General features: G+C 32.8%; 1 protein-coding gene across 6 annotated transcripts in view; it reads right to left on the reverse strand.

The window, feature by feature from the left end:
• ASCC3 (activating signal cointegrator 1 complex subunit 3) overlaps positions 1-21,932 on the reverse strand; it is a 373,136-nt gene that overhangs the window by 274,130 nt on the left and 77,074 nt on the right. For 5 of the 6 annotated variants that reach the window (NM_006828.4, XM_011535394.4, XM_047418108.1 and 2 more), the window contains 3 exons: positions 17,977-18,181; positions 17,108-17,249; positions 16,390-16,515 (listed from right to left, as the gene is read on the reverse strand). In NM_006828.4, coding sequence (NP_006819.2) covers positions 16,390-16,515; positions 17,108-17,249; positions 17,977-18,181 — 473 coding nt within the window. Of the gene's footprint in view, positions 1-16,389; positions 16,516-17,107; positions 17,250-17,976; positions 18,182-21,932 lie in introns of those variants that run through there. The other variant, XM_047418109.1, reaches the window with a different exon arrangement.

Genomic DNA, 21,932 nt, shown 5'->3' on the forward strand with positions numbered 1-21,932 from the left:
AAATTTTGTTTTAATTGTGTTTGAGTATATTGATTACAATGTAAAATATTTTTTAGATGAGTGCAATAAAAAAAGTTTGAAATCCAATGCCACAAATAAATACTTTCTAGTGAACACAAATGCATTCTTTCAAAATATGATCCTGCTTCATTTTGGGAACACAAAAATATTTCGCTCACAAATCAATGCCTATTACCTTCGGCCTATCTAGCAATTTCACTTTTTAAAAATGTATCCAAAAATATACTTACACATGTGCAAAATTGTGTATGCATAAGATTATTTATCACAAATTATTTGTAATACCAAAAATTAGAAACAATCCGAATTTCCTCAATAGTGTACCACTGGAATAAATTATGGCATATCCATACAATGAAATTCTATGCCTCCATAAACAGAATAAGAAAGTTTTCTGTTTTCTGAGATGAAAAGATCTTTTTATGGCCAAAAAAAAGCAAGCTGCAGAATAGTATTATAATATGCTATTTTATTGTCCAAATTTGAGGAGGGCAGGAAATAATTATTTATATTTGCTTGCAGAAATTCTGAAAGAATACATAAAATTAAATACACTGCTTATTAATGAAAGAAGTCAGGGACCTGGGAAGATAAAAGACACAAATAAAAGGCTTCTCAGTATGTAAAGGTTGCTAGTTTTTGAAACCATATGATAATACCTATGCCAAAAAAAAAAAGAAATATGACTGACATCTTTTAAGAAATGGAAAAACTAAAAACATGTCTGATTTAGTGGAAAAGCCTAAATGAGCTCTCATGTATTATATAAATATTTCATATTAAGTTCTTCTCATTATTCCTTGAATTCTACCCTTTAGAAACAAAATAGTAAGTTAAATTACTCTTCTCATGCCCCTTCAAATTATTCTACACCATATGTCCCCTACTCAGTGTTCTTCCCAGCGTTCTCTTTTTTGGTCTTAACATGGCTAGTTCCTCAAAGGACTTCCCAATTAAAAGTTTAGACACAGAAGAAAACAGCAAGTGTTCTTTCTACCTCCAATATTTGTGACATCAGACCCGTGGTCTCATCTAAACCTCAATGGCTTCACCAGAGGACCAGATCTGTTATTAACTGCAAGCCTAAATCACATCTTGCTGTTATCTAAAATGTATCCTCCTACTCCTCCATCATGTACTAAACGCTGCCTACCAAGTGTCAGGCTTTGAGGACGTGGTCTGTCCTCAAGAGCTCACATTGCAGCAGATGAATCTAGACTACCAGAAACCCATTTCATGAGCTCCAACTATGACTTTCTTTCCACATACCTCCACATTGTAACGTTTAAAGAAACCAGAGAAGATCTTACATACTACTTCACTAAATACACCAATCCCAAACTACATAATTTGTGACAAGTCAGTAGACTAACTGAACACAAAAACTACAATGTGATTTCTAATGCTCTTAAATTAAAGGTAAATACATAAGATAATATATTCCTTATTTAATTTGGCAAGTAAACTGTTCACTAATCTATTTAGCAACCATTTTTACTGAGCACGTACTACATATGAGGTTTTGTTTTAAATGCTTTAAGTGCATTATTTCACTTAGCATCCAAAGAAAATTTATGCGGTAGGTCTTTTTATCGTCCTTCTTTTAAAGAGGGGGGAAGTAGGGCATGGTGAGTTTAAAGAACTTAACCAGGATAAATGGCTAGTAAATTGCAGAGCAAAGATTGAAACTCAGGTATCTGACACCAAAGTCTAAATTAAAAGTCCAAGTTAAAGGCTTGTAAAACTTATTAATTTCATTACTTTACACTTTTATTTTTAAGGTAAATTTTTTGATTCCTAAAACTGATTTTTAACCAAGTAACATAATTTATAAAACTAAATATGAAAATACAGTCAATGAAAATACTGACTTCCCTAATAAATAAATGCAAAATAGAATAAGATACAATTTTATTAATCTGAGTGTTGAAGATTTATTAAAAATTTATTGCTCTTGGTAATGTTTATATCTTCAAATATATTGCTTATATCCAATTCATATTACAAATGTGCATACATCATTTAACCTAACTCCTAGACAAAAAAGTATCCAAGCGAAATAACTGAATAAGAATGTCAGATAGATAAATAAGCACAAAGATGCTTGCTTTAACATCATTTACAATAAGAAAAAAACAGACACAAGCTGAATATCTACAAATAGGGTATTGGAGTAAGTAATTCATGACACATTCTCCATGAATCACGGTAGATAAGAATGAAGACATATTTGCTTATAGAAAAATGTGTCTAAAAGAGAAAAAAAGTATGCCACAAAATAGTAGCTAATTAAATATATTAATACAAAAACATTCTGGAAAGATATATATCAAAGAATTCTGCTAAAGTTGGGACTATAAAGACATTTTCACTTTCTATTTTATATTATAAATGTAGATGTTACATTTTTAATATTATTTTTTGGTAATAGATAAATTTTATCATCAGCCCTACAGAAATCTTTTCTGTTTAGATAAAATAAACAAAAGGAGAAAGGCCTATTCTGTATTGACTTCATGTATTAAAACAACAATATTTCTTTATAAATAGAAATACCTAATGCTTTTGTAGTAATACAAAATAACTGACTAACCCTCTTTTTCATTCTGTAATATAGAGTCCTACATCTTTACAAACACCAAATTTCTAATTTGTACCCCCTCTTGAAAGTGCACTGAAAAATTACTAAATTTTATTAAGAGATATGAAAGACAGTACATGGACACTGTTATTTTCTCTTTACTGAAGAGTCATGTGTTTTAATGCTTTACGATAAAAATATATTTTGAATCAGATGATCTGAGTAGAGGAAATTAAGTCTTAGTAACAAAGCACCTCAAAAGAGTAACCTAATATTAAATCTGTGAAAGAAGTGAGATTGTTAGATTTTGTGAAAATCAAGTTACTTATTTTCTACAATGAAACTGAGCCAAATTGTATTACATATGAAGAAAGCAGTAAGAAATCCCACCTAAATTAATTAGACATTGCAATTTATTATTCATATATTTTTATGTTACTTAACTGAATGCATTTACACCATCCATTCACTCATTTAATCGTTTATTAATTTAAAGACAGGGTCTCGTTCTGCTGCCCAGGCTGGAATGCAGTAGCATGATCATCGGCTCACTGCAATCTCAAACTCCTGGACTCAAGTGAACCTCCCACATAAGCCTCCAGAGTACCTAGGACTACAGGCATGCAGTACCATGTCTGGCTAATTTTTTTAATTTTAAAAAATATGTTTAGAAATGGGGTCTCACTATGTTGCCCAGGCTGGCCTTGAACTCCTAGGCCCAAGTGATCCTCCTGCCTTGGCCTCCCAAAGTGCTAGGATTACAGGTGTGAGCCACCATGCCCAGCTCATTTACACTGTATAAAATACTGACAATACTCAATATGCCTGTAAGTGTCAATTCCTAAAACTTCTCATACAGAAAAGTCTAAGAAGCATAACAAAAACAAATGTCAGCTAAATACAGATGGACCTTAGAAATATACTTCACAGCCTGATGGTAAAATGATAAATAAGATGTTATTACTGGTCTTGAAGACACAACACAGGAGAGAAAAAACAAACAATAGCAATACCATGTTTAACAAGAATTTCAGATATAATGGGAGTCAGAGAGGCATACCCTCTTCTTGGGAGGGTAAGATGCCCTCCTAATTCCCAGGAGAGGTATGATTTGAGCAAAAGCTGAATGTTTAGGAAGACTGAAGAAAAAACACAAAGTTCTCAATGGGGGATTTTAAAAGAGAAACAAAACTTGGGCTGCACAATCATAACAAGCTCTACTGACAAACCATCCAGATTGTACATCTGGGTTTTCACCAGCACACTCTTAACAATAACTCAACATGTCAGATGTCATTCTGAAACATCTTCTTTAGGGTGCTATGTCAATAGTTACATTCATACACATGCTCATGGTATGTCATTATATTAAATTGTTAGATATAATGCGGATGGAAATAATGTCTTCCAAAAATTCCCATTGAGGATTCTAATAATGAAATTCTCTTGTTTAAGGAGATGTACATTTAAAATGGCATTCTTGCACTATTTAATCAGTTTGGAAAGTTTAAACTCATATGAACTATAACAAATTTAAATTAAATAATTACCCTTGATTCAACATCTGTAATATTTTATGGACTTGACCGTATAAGTGCCCAAATATTTTATCCTTTGCAAAGACTTTGAGCAAACTAGTAAAAGTAATTTAAAGGTTCAACTCAGAGCTGAAACCAATTATTACCATAAATATCAGCCAAGAAACTAAAAATGACATTTTCATTGTTGGATTCAACAGAATTTAACAGAGACTCTTTAGCTTCAGTTTTATTGCCATGATTAGAAGTGCAGCTGTTTATCAGAAGTTAGATCCTACAATCTCAGCCAAGACTGTTTGTAATACCAATTAAATAATTTTAGGCTACAACACTTTGAAACCGCACTTCAGATGATATACCAGAGGCATACTTATACATACCTGATTTCTAACAGGGATGAAATTGAGTCTTAAAAATGGGTCAAAATGGGGCTAGAGTTAACTGATTATCTATATTTAAAAATGGAATTTAAATCTTTATCTTACTTCATATTATCAGTAAGTATCAGTTTTAGATGGTTTGGAAATGTAAATGTGCAAAGTAAGATTTTAAGTGGCAGACAGACCCTAAGGTAAGCCCAAATAATCCCAGATGCCTGCCTCCTGGTGTTCATGCCCTAGTTTAATCCTTTCCCCTCAAGCATAGTGGGACCTGTGACTTGTTTCTAGCCAACAGAAGAATATGGCAGAGGCTGTCACTCCCATGATTATTTTATGTTATATATGACTCCATCTTGTAGGATTTGCCTTCTGACAAGCAACTGACACCCCCTTGTATTTCTCTATACTTAATGAACAATTAGAGGTTGAATTTGAAAGAGTTTTAAAATAATACCAGAAAACATAAACATGAAATACATAGGTATAAATTTAACACAACAGTCGTAAAACATATCCTAAAAATTACAAATTAATCATGAAAAAAATCAAAGAAAAATAAATGAAGAAGTATATAATCTTTGTGGTTTGGAGGGTTTGATATTAAGATTTAAATCCTCATCAAATAATCTATAGATTCAATGGAATCCCAGTTAAAATCTCAGCAGAAAATTTTGTAGAAAACAACACGATTCATATGGAAAATCGAAGACATAGAATAACCAAATACTAACACCTGTTTTCAAGACTTACTATAAAGCTTCAGTAATCCAGACAGCATGGCAAAGAATAGACATGCAGGGAATCAAAAATAAGCTCACCTGTATGTATATGATCAACTGATTTTTAACAAACGTTTAACAAACATGCAAAAACAAATCAATGTAGAGAGAAATCTTTTTGATAAATGATGCCTGAACAACTGGACAGCTATATGCAAAAACAAACAAAAACCTTGACCCTTACATTTCACCATATATAAAAACCAATTATAAATGGATTATATACCTAAATGTAAGAGCTCCAACTTTAAAATTTACAGAAGAAAATTACGAAGAAAATCTTAATAACCTCGCGTGAGGCAAAAATTGCTTACATATGACCAAAAAGCATAATCGAGTTTTTTTTTTTGTTTATAGAATGAACTTCAAGGGTACTAATACATTTGCTCCACTGAAGACATTTTGTGAAAAAACAAGTCACAAAATGGGAGAAAATATTACAAACACATATCTGAAAACGGACTGTATTCAGACTACACAAAGAAGTCTCAAAATTCATTAACAGGAAAACAAATTACTCAATTAAAAACTTGACAAATTATTTAAGCAGAAATCTCACCAAAGAAGAATGACAAGTAAGGACACAAAAAGCTGCTCAACATTATTAGTCATTAAGGAAATGCAAACCAAAACCATAATGAGATACTACTACACAACTAAGTAAAATGTTTAAAAATTTTTAAACCGACAATATTATGTGCTGACAAAAATATAGGGTAAGTGGAATACTCATACATTGCTGGTGGAAATACAAAATGCTCCATTCATTTTGGAAAACAGTTTGCCAGTTTCTTACAAAGATAAGTACATATTTACTATATAATGTAGCAATTCCATTCCTATTTACCCTAGGAAAACAAAAATATATGTTCAAATAAATACCTGTACATGAACAGTTTAAGTCATAATCAGCAAAAGTTGCAAACAAGCTAAAAGTACTTCAAATGGAGAATGAACAAATTGAAGTACGGATACAAAATGTAATACGTTTCAGCCATGAAAAAAAAAACAAGTACTGAAACATAGAGCAATATGGATGAATGTCTAATGTATTACATTAAGTGACAGAAACCAGATTCAAAATATTCATGACACTTACATGATATTATACAAGTAACTTATATGACGTATACATAAGCATTACACAAGGAATTTTATGATACTTATATGACATTTTGGAAAAGTCAAAACCATAGGGAAAATAAACAGACCAGTGGTCTGCAGGAACTGGGAGTGGTGGGAAAGAGGTAAAAGAGGCAGTAGTAAAGTTTTTGACATGATGAAAATGTTGTTTTTGATTGTGTTGATATTTACATGTTTTTGTTCATGTTGATATTTACAAAATCTACTACACTGTACCCCCAAAAGGGTGTATTTTATAGTAGTCAAATGATAACTTTAATACACCAGGCTTTCAAAAAAGACAACAAAAACAAAACAAAAAATAAAGCAATACAACAAAATGAGGGGAGGAAAGGAAAGGAGGAAGGAAGGAAGGGAGGACAGGAGGGAGGGCAGAGGAAAGAATTTGGTGGGGAGGCCATTTATATATATGATTGATCATCTTATCTTTAAATTTAGGGAAGTAACTTATAAATCCCGTTGACTTTTATGCTTCTCTACATGAGATCTGAAGCTCAGAGTATAAGCTTTCCAAATACACTGAACCCACAACTCAAAAGAGTAGGGGAAGGAGTTAGTCACAGACAACTGGAGACTCAAAGGATGGAGCTCAAAGGATGTACTGAGGAGGCCAGTGCTTTTAAAAACAGGTTCTTCATGCTCAGGTTAGGGGCTGCTGGTCAACACTTGAGATTTTCATTCATTTGCCAGGGGGAAATAGTAATTTGTACATTTCTTAACAGCTCCCAGATGACTATTAAGTATAAGCAAACCTGAGAATTATTATCAAATATCCTACCCATCCACAACACAGTGATTAAGTTTTCTGATTCATCTATGTTTAATAATTTAATACAATCTACTCTGGAAAGAACAAAGTACATTTTACTCAGAAAAATTTCTGTTAAAAACGTATAAGTTTAGAAGAAAGAGGTCCCTATAAGAAAAATATTTTGTTTGAACTTCTTGTATAATACGTAAAGACTTGAAGGAACAAGCAAAACATTTAGCGGAAGAAATCATGAAAGCTGTGTAACAAAACATGATATTGTACCGATGGCTTAATAATTGAGATCCCTTTATACACTGATTCCCTGGTACATTTAAAATTTACCAAAATTATATGCTTATTTTCATATAACTCTGAAATTTACCAAGAACGTGAGACCTTATTGAGAATGCAAAATGAAGCAACCTATGTTTACTTAACCACTTTGATATTTGCACCACTGGATCAAATTTAAACACGTCCTCTCTAAACCTCTTGCTGTCAGGGTTGACGTGATGTGCCAGGATTTATATGATGTTTATGTGAAGGGTTCCCAGATAAAACAACAAAAGTCAGCTATCAATGTGAGAAATTAATTGAAGGGACAGTTTATATAAGCATTTCTTGAGCTAAGAATTTACCGATTACCTAAAGTATATCACAAAAACCACTATACATTTTCTGTGTGCTAACTCATGTAATCATCAAAATAAATAGTCTGAAAAGGAAACTGAAACTCAGAGGCATAATTTAACTTGATTCGTGTCACAAAATGTGCAAATGGTGAAGGAGGGAACTCCCATCAGTCCTACCTAACTGGATAGCAAGCTTCTTAAAGCCAGGATCATAGTTCTAAACCTCTGTGTATCCACCATAACTCCTAGTACAATGCTTTGCATCAATCATGAACTCAAGAAATTATTACTGATGACCAATAACCAATACATATGTACTTTCAAACTAAATAACAAGAAGAAAATCTATAAATAGCAACCTGTAAATATCAAATATTTCTGTGTGTTGTTGTAGGTCTGTGAAACCACAACACACTGATATATTGAAAGACATGGACTAAATCCAGTTCTAAAGCAATTTGGAATTTCCAGAATATAACTTAAATTCATTAGATTTTCAGATTTCTGAATTCATTCAAGTTGAAAAGTTATACTGGGACAGTTCAATGTCTTTAAGTTTTTAATCTTCTCCATTCTAATTTCCTGCTATAAAATCAATAAAGTGTAGGTTGTAAAGAAAATTATTTTGTTTGATTACTTTACTCCTAGTTAGAGGCAGATGTTAGTTATAACTTTTTCTGTAGTTTAGCAGGTATTTTTGAAGCAGCTGGTGCCCTTTTCCTAGTTATCTGTTTGCAAGTGTTCCCAGTAGACTATACGGTACTGCAATCCTGAAAAGGTTTTGGGCATACAGACAAAATGAATTCTTATTTAGAAGAGAAAACATAGACAGTATTTCCCCTCAAATAAGACTTGGGTGTTTCATAGTTTTGAATGATAAAGCATTTTCATAACAAGTAAACATTATTTTTTAATAATTTAAATAATTGCTGAGAGTCAAAAATTGATAAAAATTTCTTATTTATAATTTTATAAGGAAGATTATCCAATATATCATTTTTAAACATATTAAGCATCTATTGATAGCCCAAACAGAAAATAATAATTATTAAAAGCATGTACCACACTGAATGTATCAAAAATCCCCAATTACTTTCAAGAATAAACTGAGAATTTTAAAAGTTTTTCCTTACAGTTTCCATAGTTGCACTCTAAATAATACTCCAACACATAAAATCATGGCCTTCTTGACAGTGACCAAGTTTTTATAACAAAACTTAATTTGGAAGATTCTGTATAAAAGATGTCACAGATAAGACATAATCTCCAACATTTTATGCCAGGTCCACACAAAAGTTGCAACATGAAGTCAAGAACTATTCTTTTCTCTGTATACCCAAAACAGCTCTATTAAGGAAACAATTGTTTAGTTCATTATCACTGTTTCCGATGAAGATCAATGCCCACAGACTAAGCAGTCAAGAAGCAACTCAAGTCTCATGTTCTCCAAGAAGTCTTCATTAACAGCCATACTCTGCAATGATCCCAGTAACCTTGTTCTGACACATCCTATCACAGACAGCGTTAGCTGTCCACACACAATCACTGTTTCATTTTGTTTTTTCTAATGAAAATGCACTTTTTTATTCAGAAAATCTGGCCTCTTTGACAAAATCATGTGTTTCACTAAGCCAAACATGGCAAACTTGTTTCCCTTGAATCCTGGAAAATATTTCCTCACTCTTAAAATAGACACAGGAAAATTTAGTCCTCATTTCTTACTGGACTTTTTTTGCACAGTGACCCTGGAATAACAGCCATGATGAGAGTTAATTTGAGGAAAAGCCAAAAAAATGAGGATAGCAGAATAGAAAGACATTAACAAGTTGGGTTCTGAATAGCATCATTGAGCAAACAAATGGACGAACCTGGACTATTTGGCTTCCTATAAATTATTATTTATAACATAATAGTATATGTTTTTATGAGCTAGGTTTTCTGCAGCCAGAAGTATTCAAAGTGATAGAAAAACTAAATCTCAACAAGTAATCATCATAATACAGTACTGTACTTATCAGTTTTCCTAGTATTGTACTGTGGCTTAATCAGTTTAATATACCTAGAAACCAGTAATACTTCCTGTTGATACACTAAATCATACAAACAGTGCTAATTGGGTATATTTCGTGAAGCAAATATTTTGCTATACAATACATCTGAATAATTTATTGACAAGAGGTGGTAAAATTATGTCTATCTTTAAATGTATGAATTTTTTTTGGTTAAAATATCTGTTCCCTAGCTTTGATATTCCTGGCACTCTCCACATATGGCCTACATGCTAATAAGACTGAAGTGCTTGATATCCAAAGGTAACAGCAATTTCATGCAACATCCTTTGTGTGGCATACACCACCACCTGCTTTGTCTATCTGGCAAAGCTCTAGAACTAGTAAAATCATCATGGTCAATTAATTATTGCTAGTGCTATAAATTATTTTTGAAAAACTCCTTATATAGTCCAACTATTTATATATCTGGAAAGAAGAGAAAATTTACATTTCCATTAAAGTACCCTATAATACTTTATTTAAGGTTCTATCTAAGAATTTAATAGTTTCCTCCAATGTTGTTTTATTCAGCATGTCCTAAACAAGTTCATCCAATTTAGAATGAAAAAATGAGAAAAACTGTTTTTAAAATTGCACTAACAACTGACCTCAGGATACAGGCTAAAACAGAAACTTTAACTTGAGTTGCATGAGAAAATTAATAATTTGGCTTGGAGCAGGGTGGCAATCCACAAACCAGATAAGAAAATAAAATATGAAAGGGTTTTCTTCTCTCCATTTCTTAATTGTCACTTTGGAAATTACCTTTATGAAATAAATTATTTTTATGTTCATTTATGCTATTCAGCTACTTTTTCATTCCAAACCCATGTGGAGTAGTAGTGGATGCTATCCTACAAGATCTGAAAAGCCTGGCAACATAGTCACCATAGCAAAACATCTTAAACTAGTTTCTAATTAACTGATAGAACTAAACAAAGCAGTCATTATAATTACTGACATTTGTGGTTATCTTAAGACCGAAAATTTGGAAAAAGTCAAATAGAGAAGTTATAAAGAAGTGTGACTTTTACTTTGGCTTTACTTTGTTCAACATATTTTGATTCAATCAAATCATGAAGGCAAGAAAGTTAAAGAAGCATCCAGAAAAATACTTCAGAGTATGGATCCTTTTCATGAGATCACTTTGAAGACAATGAAATGTCACTAAAACCTGGTCATGCCCCAAATTAAAAAGCCTTTTTCTAAAGCATCCCACAAGGCTGTTTATTATACTGTCACACATGCCACCAATTTCATCAGAACCATGGCCTTGAAATCACAGCCTTTTTAAGAGGTCGTATCAAGAAATATTAACAAATTATGAAGTTTGAAACTGAAAATTTAATTTACCATTTTTTTTAATTTACAGACATCATAGCAAAGATGATTTCATAAATTTCATGAGGAAGGAAACACAAATGTGGCACAAATTAAATGGAGCAAAAATTAAATTTCTAATTTAATTTGGCAAGTACTAAATTTCCTTAATACAAGCCTAGCCTCACCTGGCAATTTGAATCATGTGTTGCAGAAAGGTTAAGTAACTTGCCTAAAGGTTAAGTAACTTGCCTAAAGTCTGGCAGATAGAATGTGGGATAGTGAAGACTGAAACTCAGCCTACATTCAGGGGTCTTGCTCCTAACTAACACTTGCTCCTAACTAACACTGTATGCTGAACATGCACAAAAGTTTTTCCTATTTCCTATTCCTCACCTTAGTAAATGGCACTATCACTCACCAACACTGCTCAAAACAAAAAGCCTATATCTCATTCTAAATTCTTCTCTCTGCCTCATCCCCTCCTATTTAATCAGTCATCAGGTCTTACATACACTAGCAGCTAAATTTCTCTCAGTTGTCCCCTGTATATATAGGCTGCCCCTTTCTTAATTTAGGCTTGCAGCTTTTCTTCCTTGAATTATTGCAGCAGCTCTACTCTAGACCTTCAACTTTGTGTTGCAGCCAGAGTAATTCCTTTAAGTGAAAACACCTGATCATTTACTTTCCTATTTTTAAGAAGTAATATTTCCCACAATATTGAGTGTAAACCTCTTAGCATGGTTTTCAAAGCCCTTCATGTGCAGGCAATTGTCTTTTTCCAGTCTCATTTCCTGGCACTCTCCACATATGGCCTACATGCTAATAAGACTGAAGTGCTTGATGTCCAAAGGTAACAGCAATTTCATGCAACATCCTTTGTGTGGCATACACCACCACCTGCTTTGTCTATCTGGCAAAAGTGTATGCTTTCATATCCTTCATGAAAGCTTCTTCCTTGATCTCTTTAGTCTGCCTTTTCTGCTGCCATAGAACTTTGTACAACATAACCCAACTGTACCACTTATTTCCATGGAAATGGAACAGATACACTACATTGAGTAACTTAAGATCAGAGATAATATCCTATTCTTTATTTTCCCAGAACTTAGCCGAATAAGCACAGGATTCAAGAAGCTAGGCTCATAGAAAACTTAAATCTTAAATTCTTTACAATCAGATTTTATAGGACTCAATTATTGTAAATTTTAAAATGAAATATTATATGCATCTTTTATATTACTTTTCTAAATCAAGTGTTATGTTTGGGCCAGTAGTCCATTTTTGCTGAATAACACCCTACTGACTCTTAAAAAATCTAAGTCCTAACTGTGGAAATAGACAGAAGTCAACATATTTAACACCAACAAAGAAGTAAACCTGAGTTTCTCACCAAAAATATCAAAGACATGGTTCTGTCTTAGCATCTTTCTCATCCTACTTTTAAGGGTAATAATAGCACTCTCCTTTCCTTTGGGAAACTCCCCTTTGACTCCTGGTGGCTCATGGGGAGCTGATAATGAGGATATACAAGTGAGTAGCCATGTGTCAGTAAGAACGCCATTCACATCACATCACAGGGAAAGGAATTGGTTCAGAAATGAACTGGTGACCTAAGTCAGGAAAATCAGAGTTCATCCTAGGAGGTTTTTTTGTTTTCCTGGCAGAACTGGTTGGAAAAAAAAAACCCATTGCTTCTGGGATTATAGTATGGGGAAACGGTCATGTTTGCTGCTTCTGCTGTCACACATTTTTCCCTGGTTATATGGAGAAAGCCTATCTGGGAATCAGGGGATGAAAAATAATAAGAGAAACACAAAAGGGGGTGGGTAAGAGAAAGCAGGAAAAGAGGGGAGGAAAAAGAAAAAAAGGAAATGGAGATAAAGAAAAAGAGACAAAGAGGAGAAAAAAATCTGATGATAACATTTGAGCCTATATGCCAAGCTGGGCACATAGGCAGCTTTACTTCTGGACAATCCAGGTAGAAAAGCCATAAATTGTCACCCTTGCTTGCTTTGACTTAGATTTCTAAGAGTTCCAACTGAGTGACTCCTGACTAATCAAGAGATGCATCTACATTTTTTACATTGCTCCCTTTCCAAGAAAGTACAAAATCCATTTAATGACATTAATGGTATTTTTGCATGTACTAGAATTTTTAAATTCTCCTTAAGTTTTTAATCAAATTACAGAAGTTATTAAACTTATCCAACGTGACAGTCAGTAAAAGGACATAAAAGCATCTTAGGACAGTTAGGAATAGCATGCAATTATGATCTCAGTGAAAAACGACAGACCTTCATCTTCAATAGCACTTTCTCTGACACATAAAAGATCCTACCTGGTACAAAAAAGATCCAAGACAAAAGAAACATCTACTAAACTATCTGACATTCTGTTAATGTCTATTTTTTCTCCCAATGTCTGTATTATTACTCAAGCTTATGATGTCTGGCAGGATCAATATCTACAGTGATATGATAGCAAATGGTTTATTTATTTATAATGACAAATTTCACTTAAATGTATTATTCCCCAGTTATTATTAGCCATTAGAAAAGTACAAATTAAAACCACAATGAGAAATCACTACAATCAGATGGCTAAAATAAAAATACAAATAATACATAAAAATATAAGTGGCTAAAATAAAAATAAAAAACAGTGACAACACCAAATGCTGGTTAGTATGTGGAGAAACTAGACTATATCGAATTGCTCATGGCTGTGTTAAATGGTACAGTCACTCTAGAAAACGGTTTGGTAGTGTCTTAAACACCTAAGCATGCAGTTGCAATATGACCCAGCAAATGCATTCCTGGACATTTATTAAACAGAATGAAAACTTATATTCACACAAAAATCTGCATACCAGGTTTATAACAGCTTTATCTGTGTTATGGAAAGAACTATGCCCTTCAACATTTGTATGCTGAAGCCCTTACCCCTCAATGTGACTGTTTTAAAGACAGGACTTTTAGGGAGGTAATTACGGTTAAATGAAGTCATGAGGGTGGAGTCCTAACCTGATAGGGCTGGTGAACCTGAAAAAAGAGGAAGAAACACCAGAGGTCTCTCTTCATACACACATAGAGAAGAGGCTATGTGCAAACACAGGAAGAAGGCAGAAGTAACTACCTGCAAGCCAGGAAGAAATCCTCACCAGAAACAAAATCTGCTAGCACCACCTGATCTGTGACTTTCAGCCTCCAGAGCTGTGAGAAAAGCAGTTTCTGCTCTTTAAGCCACCTGGTCTGTGGTCTTTTGTTATGGCAGACGAATATAGTTTCACCAAAAACTATCAATAAAATAAATGTCCTTCAGTAGGTGAATAGTTTAAAACAAAAACAAAAACAAAACTGTGGTCATCTACATCACGTGTGGTAGGCAGAATAATGATGCCCCCCAAAAATCTCCACATCCTAATCCTCAGGTCTGTGAATATATTAGATTACATAAGATATGCACATTAAGGTGGCAGAGGGAATTAACCTACTCAGAAAAACTCTTTTACTCCAAGAATCCAAATAAAAATGGAACAAAGTACTTATTTAGAAATAAGTATGATAGAAAAGTTTAAAAGCCTGTTTCATTCATTATTAATTTAAATAAATGTCAATGATGTTTTTTTAAAAATGTAAAGATTTAGACCGGGTGCGGTGGCTCATGCCTGTAATCTCAGCACTTTGGGAGGCCGAGGCGGGTGGATCACTTGATGTCAGGAGTTCAAGACCAGCCTGGCCAACATGGCAAAACCCTGTCTCTACCAAAAATACAAAAATTAGCTGGGCACAGTGGTGCATGCCTGTAATCCCAGCTACTTGGGAGGCTGAGGCAGGAGAATTGCTTGAACCCTTGAACCCAGGAGGCAGAGGTTGCGGTGAGCCGAGAGTTCACACCATTGCATTCCAGCCTGGGCAACAAGAGTGAAACTCGTTCTCAAAAAAAAAAAAAAAATGAAAAAAAAAAAAAACTTAAAATTAAATATTTAATACATAAAATAAAACTTAATAAATCTTAATGATGATATTGCTTATAATGATTGATAAGGTTTATAACAATTGTATTATAATTGTTTAGTTTTATTGGCTGTCAGTCCTGGCTGTATTGTAGAATCACCCATAGAGCTTCAAAAAATCATTCCCAAAATATTGATACGTGGACCTCTTCGAAGAGATTAGGACTTAAATAGTAGCGAGGCACTTGGATTATAAAAATGTTCTATGAGTACTTCTGATATACAAGATATAACTAGAATTTTATTCTACTCTAAGAACTTATTGTAAAAGACAACTTAAAACTATAAGTTATTTCAGAATAAAGGCATAAAATGGAATAGTATGTAGTGATAAACTGATGCTGCAGAAATATGTTTACTGACACAGAAAGACACATGTAACTATATATACACACACAAAACAGTGTGTATGATGTAATTCCATTTTGTAAAAGAAAATACATATGGACACATACATATAGAATGAAGTTCATTTTGGTTGGCTGTGAGTATTCTTTATGATGCTTTATGCTGCTGTTTTTGCTTGCCTGTATTATTTGTTATTTCTGAATGATTCTATAGAACATACATGAAAAACCACAGCAACTTAATTTTGATATGGAAAAGATTAACTTTCAATAATATGAATACTTTAACCTAAACTAAGGAATATTATATTTTGAAATAGAGCAAATGTGCCAAAATTTTAACAAATGGTGAATCCAAGCAAAGGATATAAAGATAGTAATATTCATGCCAATTTTCCACAGGCAAACATTATTCAAAATTTAAAAATTTAGAAAAAATAAATTCTTAAAACTACTTTAGAATTTGCCACCCCCTCAATGTATTCTATTTTATTATAGGTTGATCATTTGATATAATCAAATACAATAAATAAATCCTTTAACATTTTATTTAAATCAGTTTGCATAAGTTAAACCAAAATCTTAGCTGAAAAAAAACATGAAACATAGAAATATATGCACAAAAATACACACATTTGTTTAATGTATGAAGAAATATAGTGTATATATTTTTTAAACTCTCCTACTGTAATTCTCTAGTAACCAACTATATATGTCTGTACTGTATTTGCCAACTAATAATGTTTTAAAACAATTTTTCCAGTATAAATTCATTCATACCGCATACCAAGCCTCAAAACTATCAACTCTATAAAAGGCTCATCTCACCTCATCTAAGTCTTGGATATAAACTGGCTTTTCCTCAAAGCTGAGTGGCATTGGTTCGCTGTAGGGAATCCTTACTTCTTCATAAAGCTTGTTATTCTCTCTTTGGATTCCTTCTGGCAAAATCATCTATAAACATCAACAATAAAAATCCAATAATAATAAAAAATAAAACACTTGCTCTGGTAAATATTCTTTAGAGAGAGACAGAAAACACTACTGGTTTTATAACAAAGCACTGGTAAATAAACTTAGCTAATTTAAAAGAAAACAAACTTAAATAAAACAAAAACAAATGCAAAAAACCACTCACACAAAGCATTAACATATCAGGTATTTTATATAACACACAGGCCACAGTATGTTGACAAATCTTAAAGTATACACTAATTAGATGGTATACCTGAATACAAATGTATTCATATAATTAGGAAAATGTACAGCATACAGTATAAAGTTTAGCCTAGCAGCAATGCAACTGATAAAACTCAAAAATACAAATTGCAAAAACAATGAAAAGGAGGGAAACATATATGTTCTGAATATCTACTATATGTCAGGAGCTTTACATACACCACATTATGTCATTTTCCCCAATACTTTAAAATAAAATTTAGCATAGTCAACTAGTGTTAGACTCACGAAGGAACAGGGAAAATCCACACATCATTTCTTTAGAATAGACATATTATTGAACAGTAGTTATATAACAATGACATACCTTTGCACCAGCAATAAATGCTGATGTTTTCATGGCTTCAGCCTGGGAATCATACACATGGGGATAATGTATTTTTTCAACGTCTGCATCTCTCTGCCTGCTCAGAATTGGAACACTTCTAGCATTCAGAAGTGCCTGTTCTCTGTAAACATAAAAATAGGCCTAATTTGAAATGTTTATCTTGAAAGGTAATGCATACACCAAAACAAGGCAATTATAAAAGATATTGGGAGCTAGCCTTCCACCATAAAAAAGAAATTAAACTACACAAAGGAAGATTTTAGGAATCCTGAAATTTTCTGAGTGACAAAATAGGATTCAGTACATTTTTAGATATTATTTATAGATAACACCACTTGGTAAGTTTGATTTAATGTTCTTTCCAATTTTGCTTTTTCACAATTCAAATGTTTACTTATTAAGGTATACATTTCTTTTTTGAAATGTGTTTCAATCTTTAAAGAATCAAGTGCAATAATGCTTATATTTCATTTTTCTCCTTTCTACTTCTAAATAACAACAATTTTTAAAAGGTACATTGAGCACAGAAATAAAATGTATCTCAAATAAATTTATGTAAGCTATATAAATCTTAACCTAGTGGTGTGTACACAGCACCTAAAAATAGCTTAGCTCTATAATCTAAATCTCTTATCTACCTGGATGCGACCAAGAATATTCTAATTAAGCAGACAGACCATTGCTTTCTTATCCCAGAAAATTAGGTATTCATAAAACAAACTTCTATGAAGAAAACGTGACTTGAAGTAAAAATCATCTATACTGCTAAGACTAAACTAAAAAGTGATAATGATATGTAAAAGCAGCAATTACAACACAAGCATTTTTCAGCTCCTGGCTTTTATTACCTTTGTATCCGCAATTCCTTAGGATCAAAGCACATAAGTCCTTCTGAAACTTCTAAATCTTCTCCAGCCTTTTTTTCTCGTCTGGCAATTCTTTTTTCTTCACGTCGATATTGTTTCATTAACTGCTTTTCTTGTTCAGACTGAATAGTGACTTGACAACCATAATTGGGTTTAGCATTTTCTCCTAAAATTTTTTTACAATTGTCTAAGAAGCAAATTTAAGAAACACAATGTTTTATAAATCTGAATATGATTTAACCTTCATGAAAACCATTTCTTTCCTCCACCCCACAACATATAATGCTCTTACAATTCATTTTTTAAAGCTGGCAAATTCAATTATATGTTTTAAGGTGAGTTTTTAAAAATCACAGTATCTAAATAAAATTACACGGTGGTTTAAGAAAAGTCAGCAGTATTTTCTTCCTACAGACTAAACAGTTCAATGTCACTGACATTATAAATTCTTACATATAACATTAGGAACCTAAAAATTCAATTTTATCATTTGAAATAATTTGTTTATATAATTTTAATAAATATAATAATTATCGATAATAATTAGCATTTACTGTTAATATAGTAATGAAATAAACTCTTTCCCTATTAGACATAAATTTTTACTATGTAATAGACCTTATGCGGTTAAGTTGCACATATGTTACTACTTAGTTATTTATAGATTACATAAAATTTATTAGCAGTAGTTCAAGACATATTTGAGACAATAACTAAAGCAAATAAAGCAAAAGTATGGTCCACCTTTTTACGGAAACACAGTTTTTTAAAAAATGGAAAAACCAAGTGAATTAAATCTCAATGTTTACTAAGTACACTTTAGGTCTGTGGTTTGGTCAACTCAATATTGAGAAAAAAATGTTCTTCCAACAGGATTACCTTCTGTGTTTGTTTAAATCTTTACAAGCAACAGTATCTTCACTTACTGAAACTCTAAAGAAACTAGAAGGAATGTAGTTGAAAGTAATCCAAGTCAATAAACATTTACTGTATTGAGGTCCTACTCAGTTCTAGCCACTGCAGCTAGGCTAGGAGGACAATGAAGAATGAGATTTGGTCCATACTCTGACAAAGCACAGTGCAAATTATTTTATCAAATTCCAATATCCAATGCAGAAGAGAGAAGGAATTAAAAATAGCATCAAGATGGGAAAATTAGCTTTCTAATTCATTCTAAGTCAAATCTTCACAATTCTCAGACAGTTGTTACTGCCCCATTACATAATTCTGAATACAAGTCATTAAACTCTCAATCATAGGGAAAACTTGTATAATGGCTTTATAAGGCCTAAAAAGGAAAATACGTCTCAAAATTATGAAATAAAATAAAATCCCATCTATATTAGGACTAAATTTTACAGTTCTGAAAAAAGCATTTTCCTAAGTATTTTATCTCTTATTTTCCAATTAAGTCTTACATACCTACTATAATAACAGAATTTATAATTAGTGTTCAGTATTAGAAAAAGAATGCAACATTCTGCCAGTTTTCACATGTACTCTGAACTCTTCATAAAAGTTAACTTGTCTGCAAAATTACACAATCAGCAACACAGATATTAAGCAGAATGTTTAAAAATGTATTTATCAGAAATGAATGTTAAAGATTTTAAGCGTAAAACTGTAAATATTTTAGGTGACATACTAGATGCTATGCTAAAGTCATTAACATTTTAAGCAAATGTGACAGTAATAAAATATTATACATACTTATGATCATCCAAATAAAATTAAAATTATAAGAAGAAAATATGTCTACCTCATAGAAAGCTTAAAAGGTCTAATTAGAACATACTGGAATCCTGTAAGGCTGAGTATAACAGGCAATTTCAAAAAATCAAGTTGTAAAGCAGTGAATGTTTAAATGTATGGTTCTCCTTGCTGGGTTAGGTTAACTGTAGAAACTGACATGCAAAAATGAAATGAATATCCTTAACAGTAATTCTAACACAAAGTTATTCTGAAGAACTATGTAGAGGCTTGTATCCTTTTAGAACGGTCGTTTAAAAGTGTGTAGAGCCTCCCCCTTGCTCTCATGCTCCTGCTCCTGATGTGTAAGATGCCTGCTCCCCTTTTGCCTTCTGCCATGATTGGAAGCTTCCTAAGGATTCCCCAGAAGCAAAAGCTGCTAATGCTTCATGTACATCCTGCAGAACTGTGAGCCAATTAAACCTCTTTTCTTTATAAATTACCCAGTCTCAGGTATTTCTTTATAGCAATGTGAGAATACACTGATACAAAAAGCTTATTGATTCTAAGAAGCTATCCTAATATTATAAAATTTATGGAATCAACATAATAAACATAAACAAAACTCATCTACAGTTTCCAAAAAATATGTAAAGCTAGATTTGTATTAAACTTTATTTTAATAGATTACCACTATTAAAAGCAGAATCAGGCTGGGCACTGTGGCTCACACCTGTAATCTAAACACTTTGGGGGGCTGAGGTGGGAGGACTGCTTGAGGCTAGTAGTTCAAGACTACCCTGGGCAACATGGGGAGATCTCATCTTTATAAAAAAAAAATTTTTTTTTTAATTAACCAGGCATGGTGGCACACACCTGTGGACCCATCTACTCGGGAGGCTGAGATGAGAGGATTGCTTGAGCACAGAAAGTTGAGGCTGCAGTGATCCCTGATTGTGCCACTGCTCCCTAGCCTGAGCAAGAGTGTGAGGGCGTGTCTTAAAAACAAAAGCTAGAATCAGTAAATATCTCTTTATTAATATTTAGGAGACTGACAAAATGAAATATCAAATTCTCAGAATTTACAACATTGCAGGACTAGATGTTTAAACTCATTTTTTTTCCTTAGCAGACACCCATTTTAGATACTCATAAACCTTGCTGGCTTAGTGCAATTTCTGATTATATACTATTCAACAGGTGTAATATGGTTAGGCTTTATGTCCCCATACAAATTTCATGTTGAATTGTAATCCCCATAATCCCCAGGTGTTGAGGGAGGAAACTTGTGGGAGGTGACTGGATCACAGGGGCTGTTTCCCCCATACTGTTCTAGTGATAGTGATTGAGTTCTCAGGAGGTCTGATAGTTTTATAAGTGTTTGGCAAGTTCCTCCTGCACATATTTCTCTCTCCTGCCACCATGTGAAGTAGGTCCTTGCTTCCCCTTCACCTTCTGCCAAGTTGCCTGAGGCCTCCAGCCATGTGGAACTGTGAGCCAATTGAACCTCCTTTGTTTATAAATTACCCAGTCTCAGGTAGTATTTTTATAGCAGTGTGAGAACTGACTAATACAAGGTGGGAGCGCTCTTGGAGGAAGGCAGAGTAGAAGTGTTCAATACACTCAAAGAACAAACAGACCTGCAGACAAAATTGCTAAATTTATATTTTCCAAGTTTCTTACAATCTCAAAGGAACTTTAAGGCTCTGAGAACATGTATTAGTAATCAAGAGAATCTGTAAGAAACAGAAAATCTGTCAGAAATTTTAGATTTAAATTATAGCTGTTTTTATCATTTCCTTTTAGTGTCATAATCATAAATGTAAGAAAATGAGGACGTAACTTACAAGAAGGATAGATGTTGAATAGTTTGAAGACAGTTGCCAAATTTCTTACGCTCATATACTTTTTTAAAATCCAAAACTATTTGTAAGGCTGGCAAAAAACAGTGTGGTAAAGGTAAAAAAAAATTGTTTTCCTATTTACCACTTAAAACCTGAGTTTCGCATCAGCTATGTTTTAAGTCAAGCTTTTATAAAAATAAGTTTTGTTCCCTAGCCAACTCTTAATTTTTCCGGGATTTAAAATATGTGTAATACATGACACTATCAGTGTTCAATTTGCTCAGTGTGATAATTGTATTGTGCTTAGACATGTGCTAAAGATTTTACAGGTAAAGAATCATGATGTCTAGAACTTCCTGTCATTGTTCAGCAAAAATTTAAAAAGTAGGTGTGTGGGTAACGGGT

This window comes from Homo sapiens, chromosome 6 (assembly GCF_000001405.40).
Source record: "Homo sapiens chromosome 6, GRCh38.p14 Primary Assembly".
NCBI classification, from domain to species: domain Eukaryota; kingdom Metazoa; phylum Chordata; class Mammalia; order Primates; family Hominidae; genus Homo; species Homo sapiens.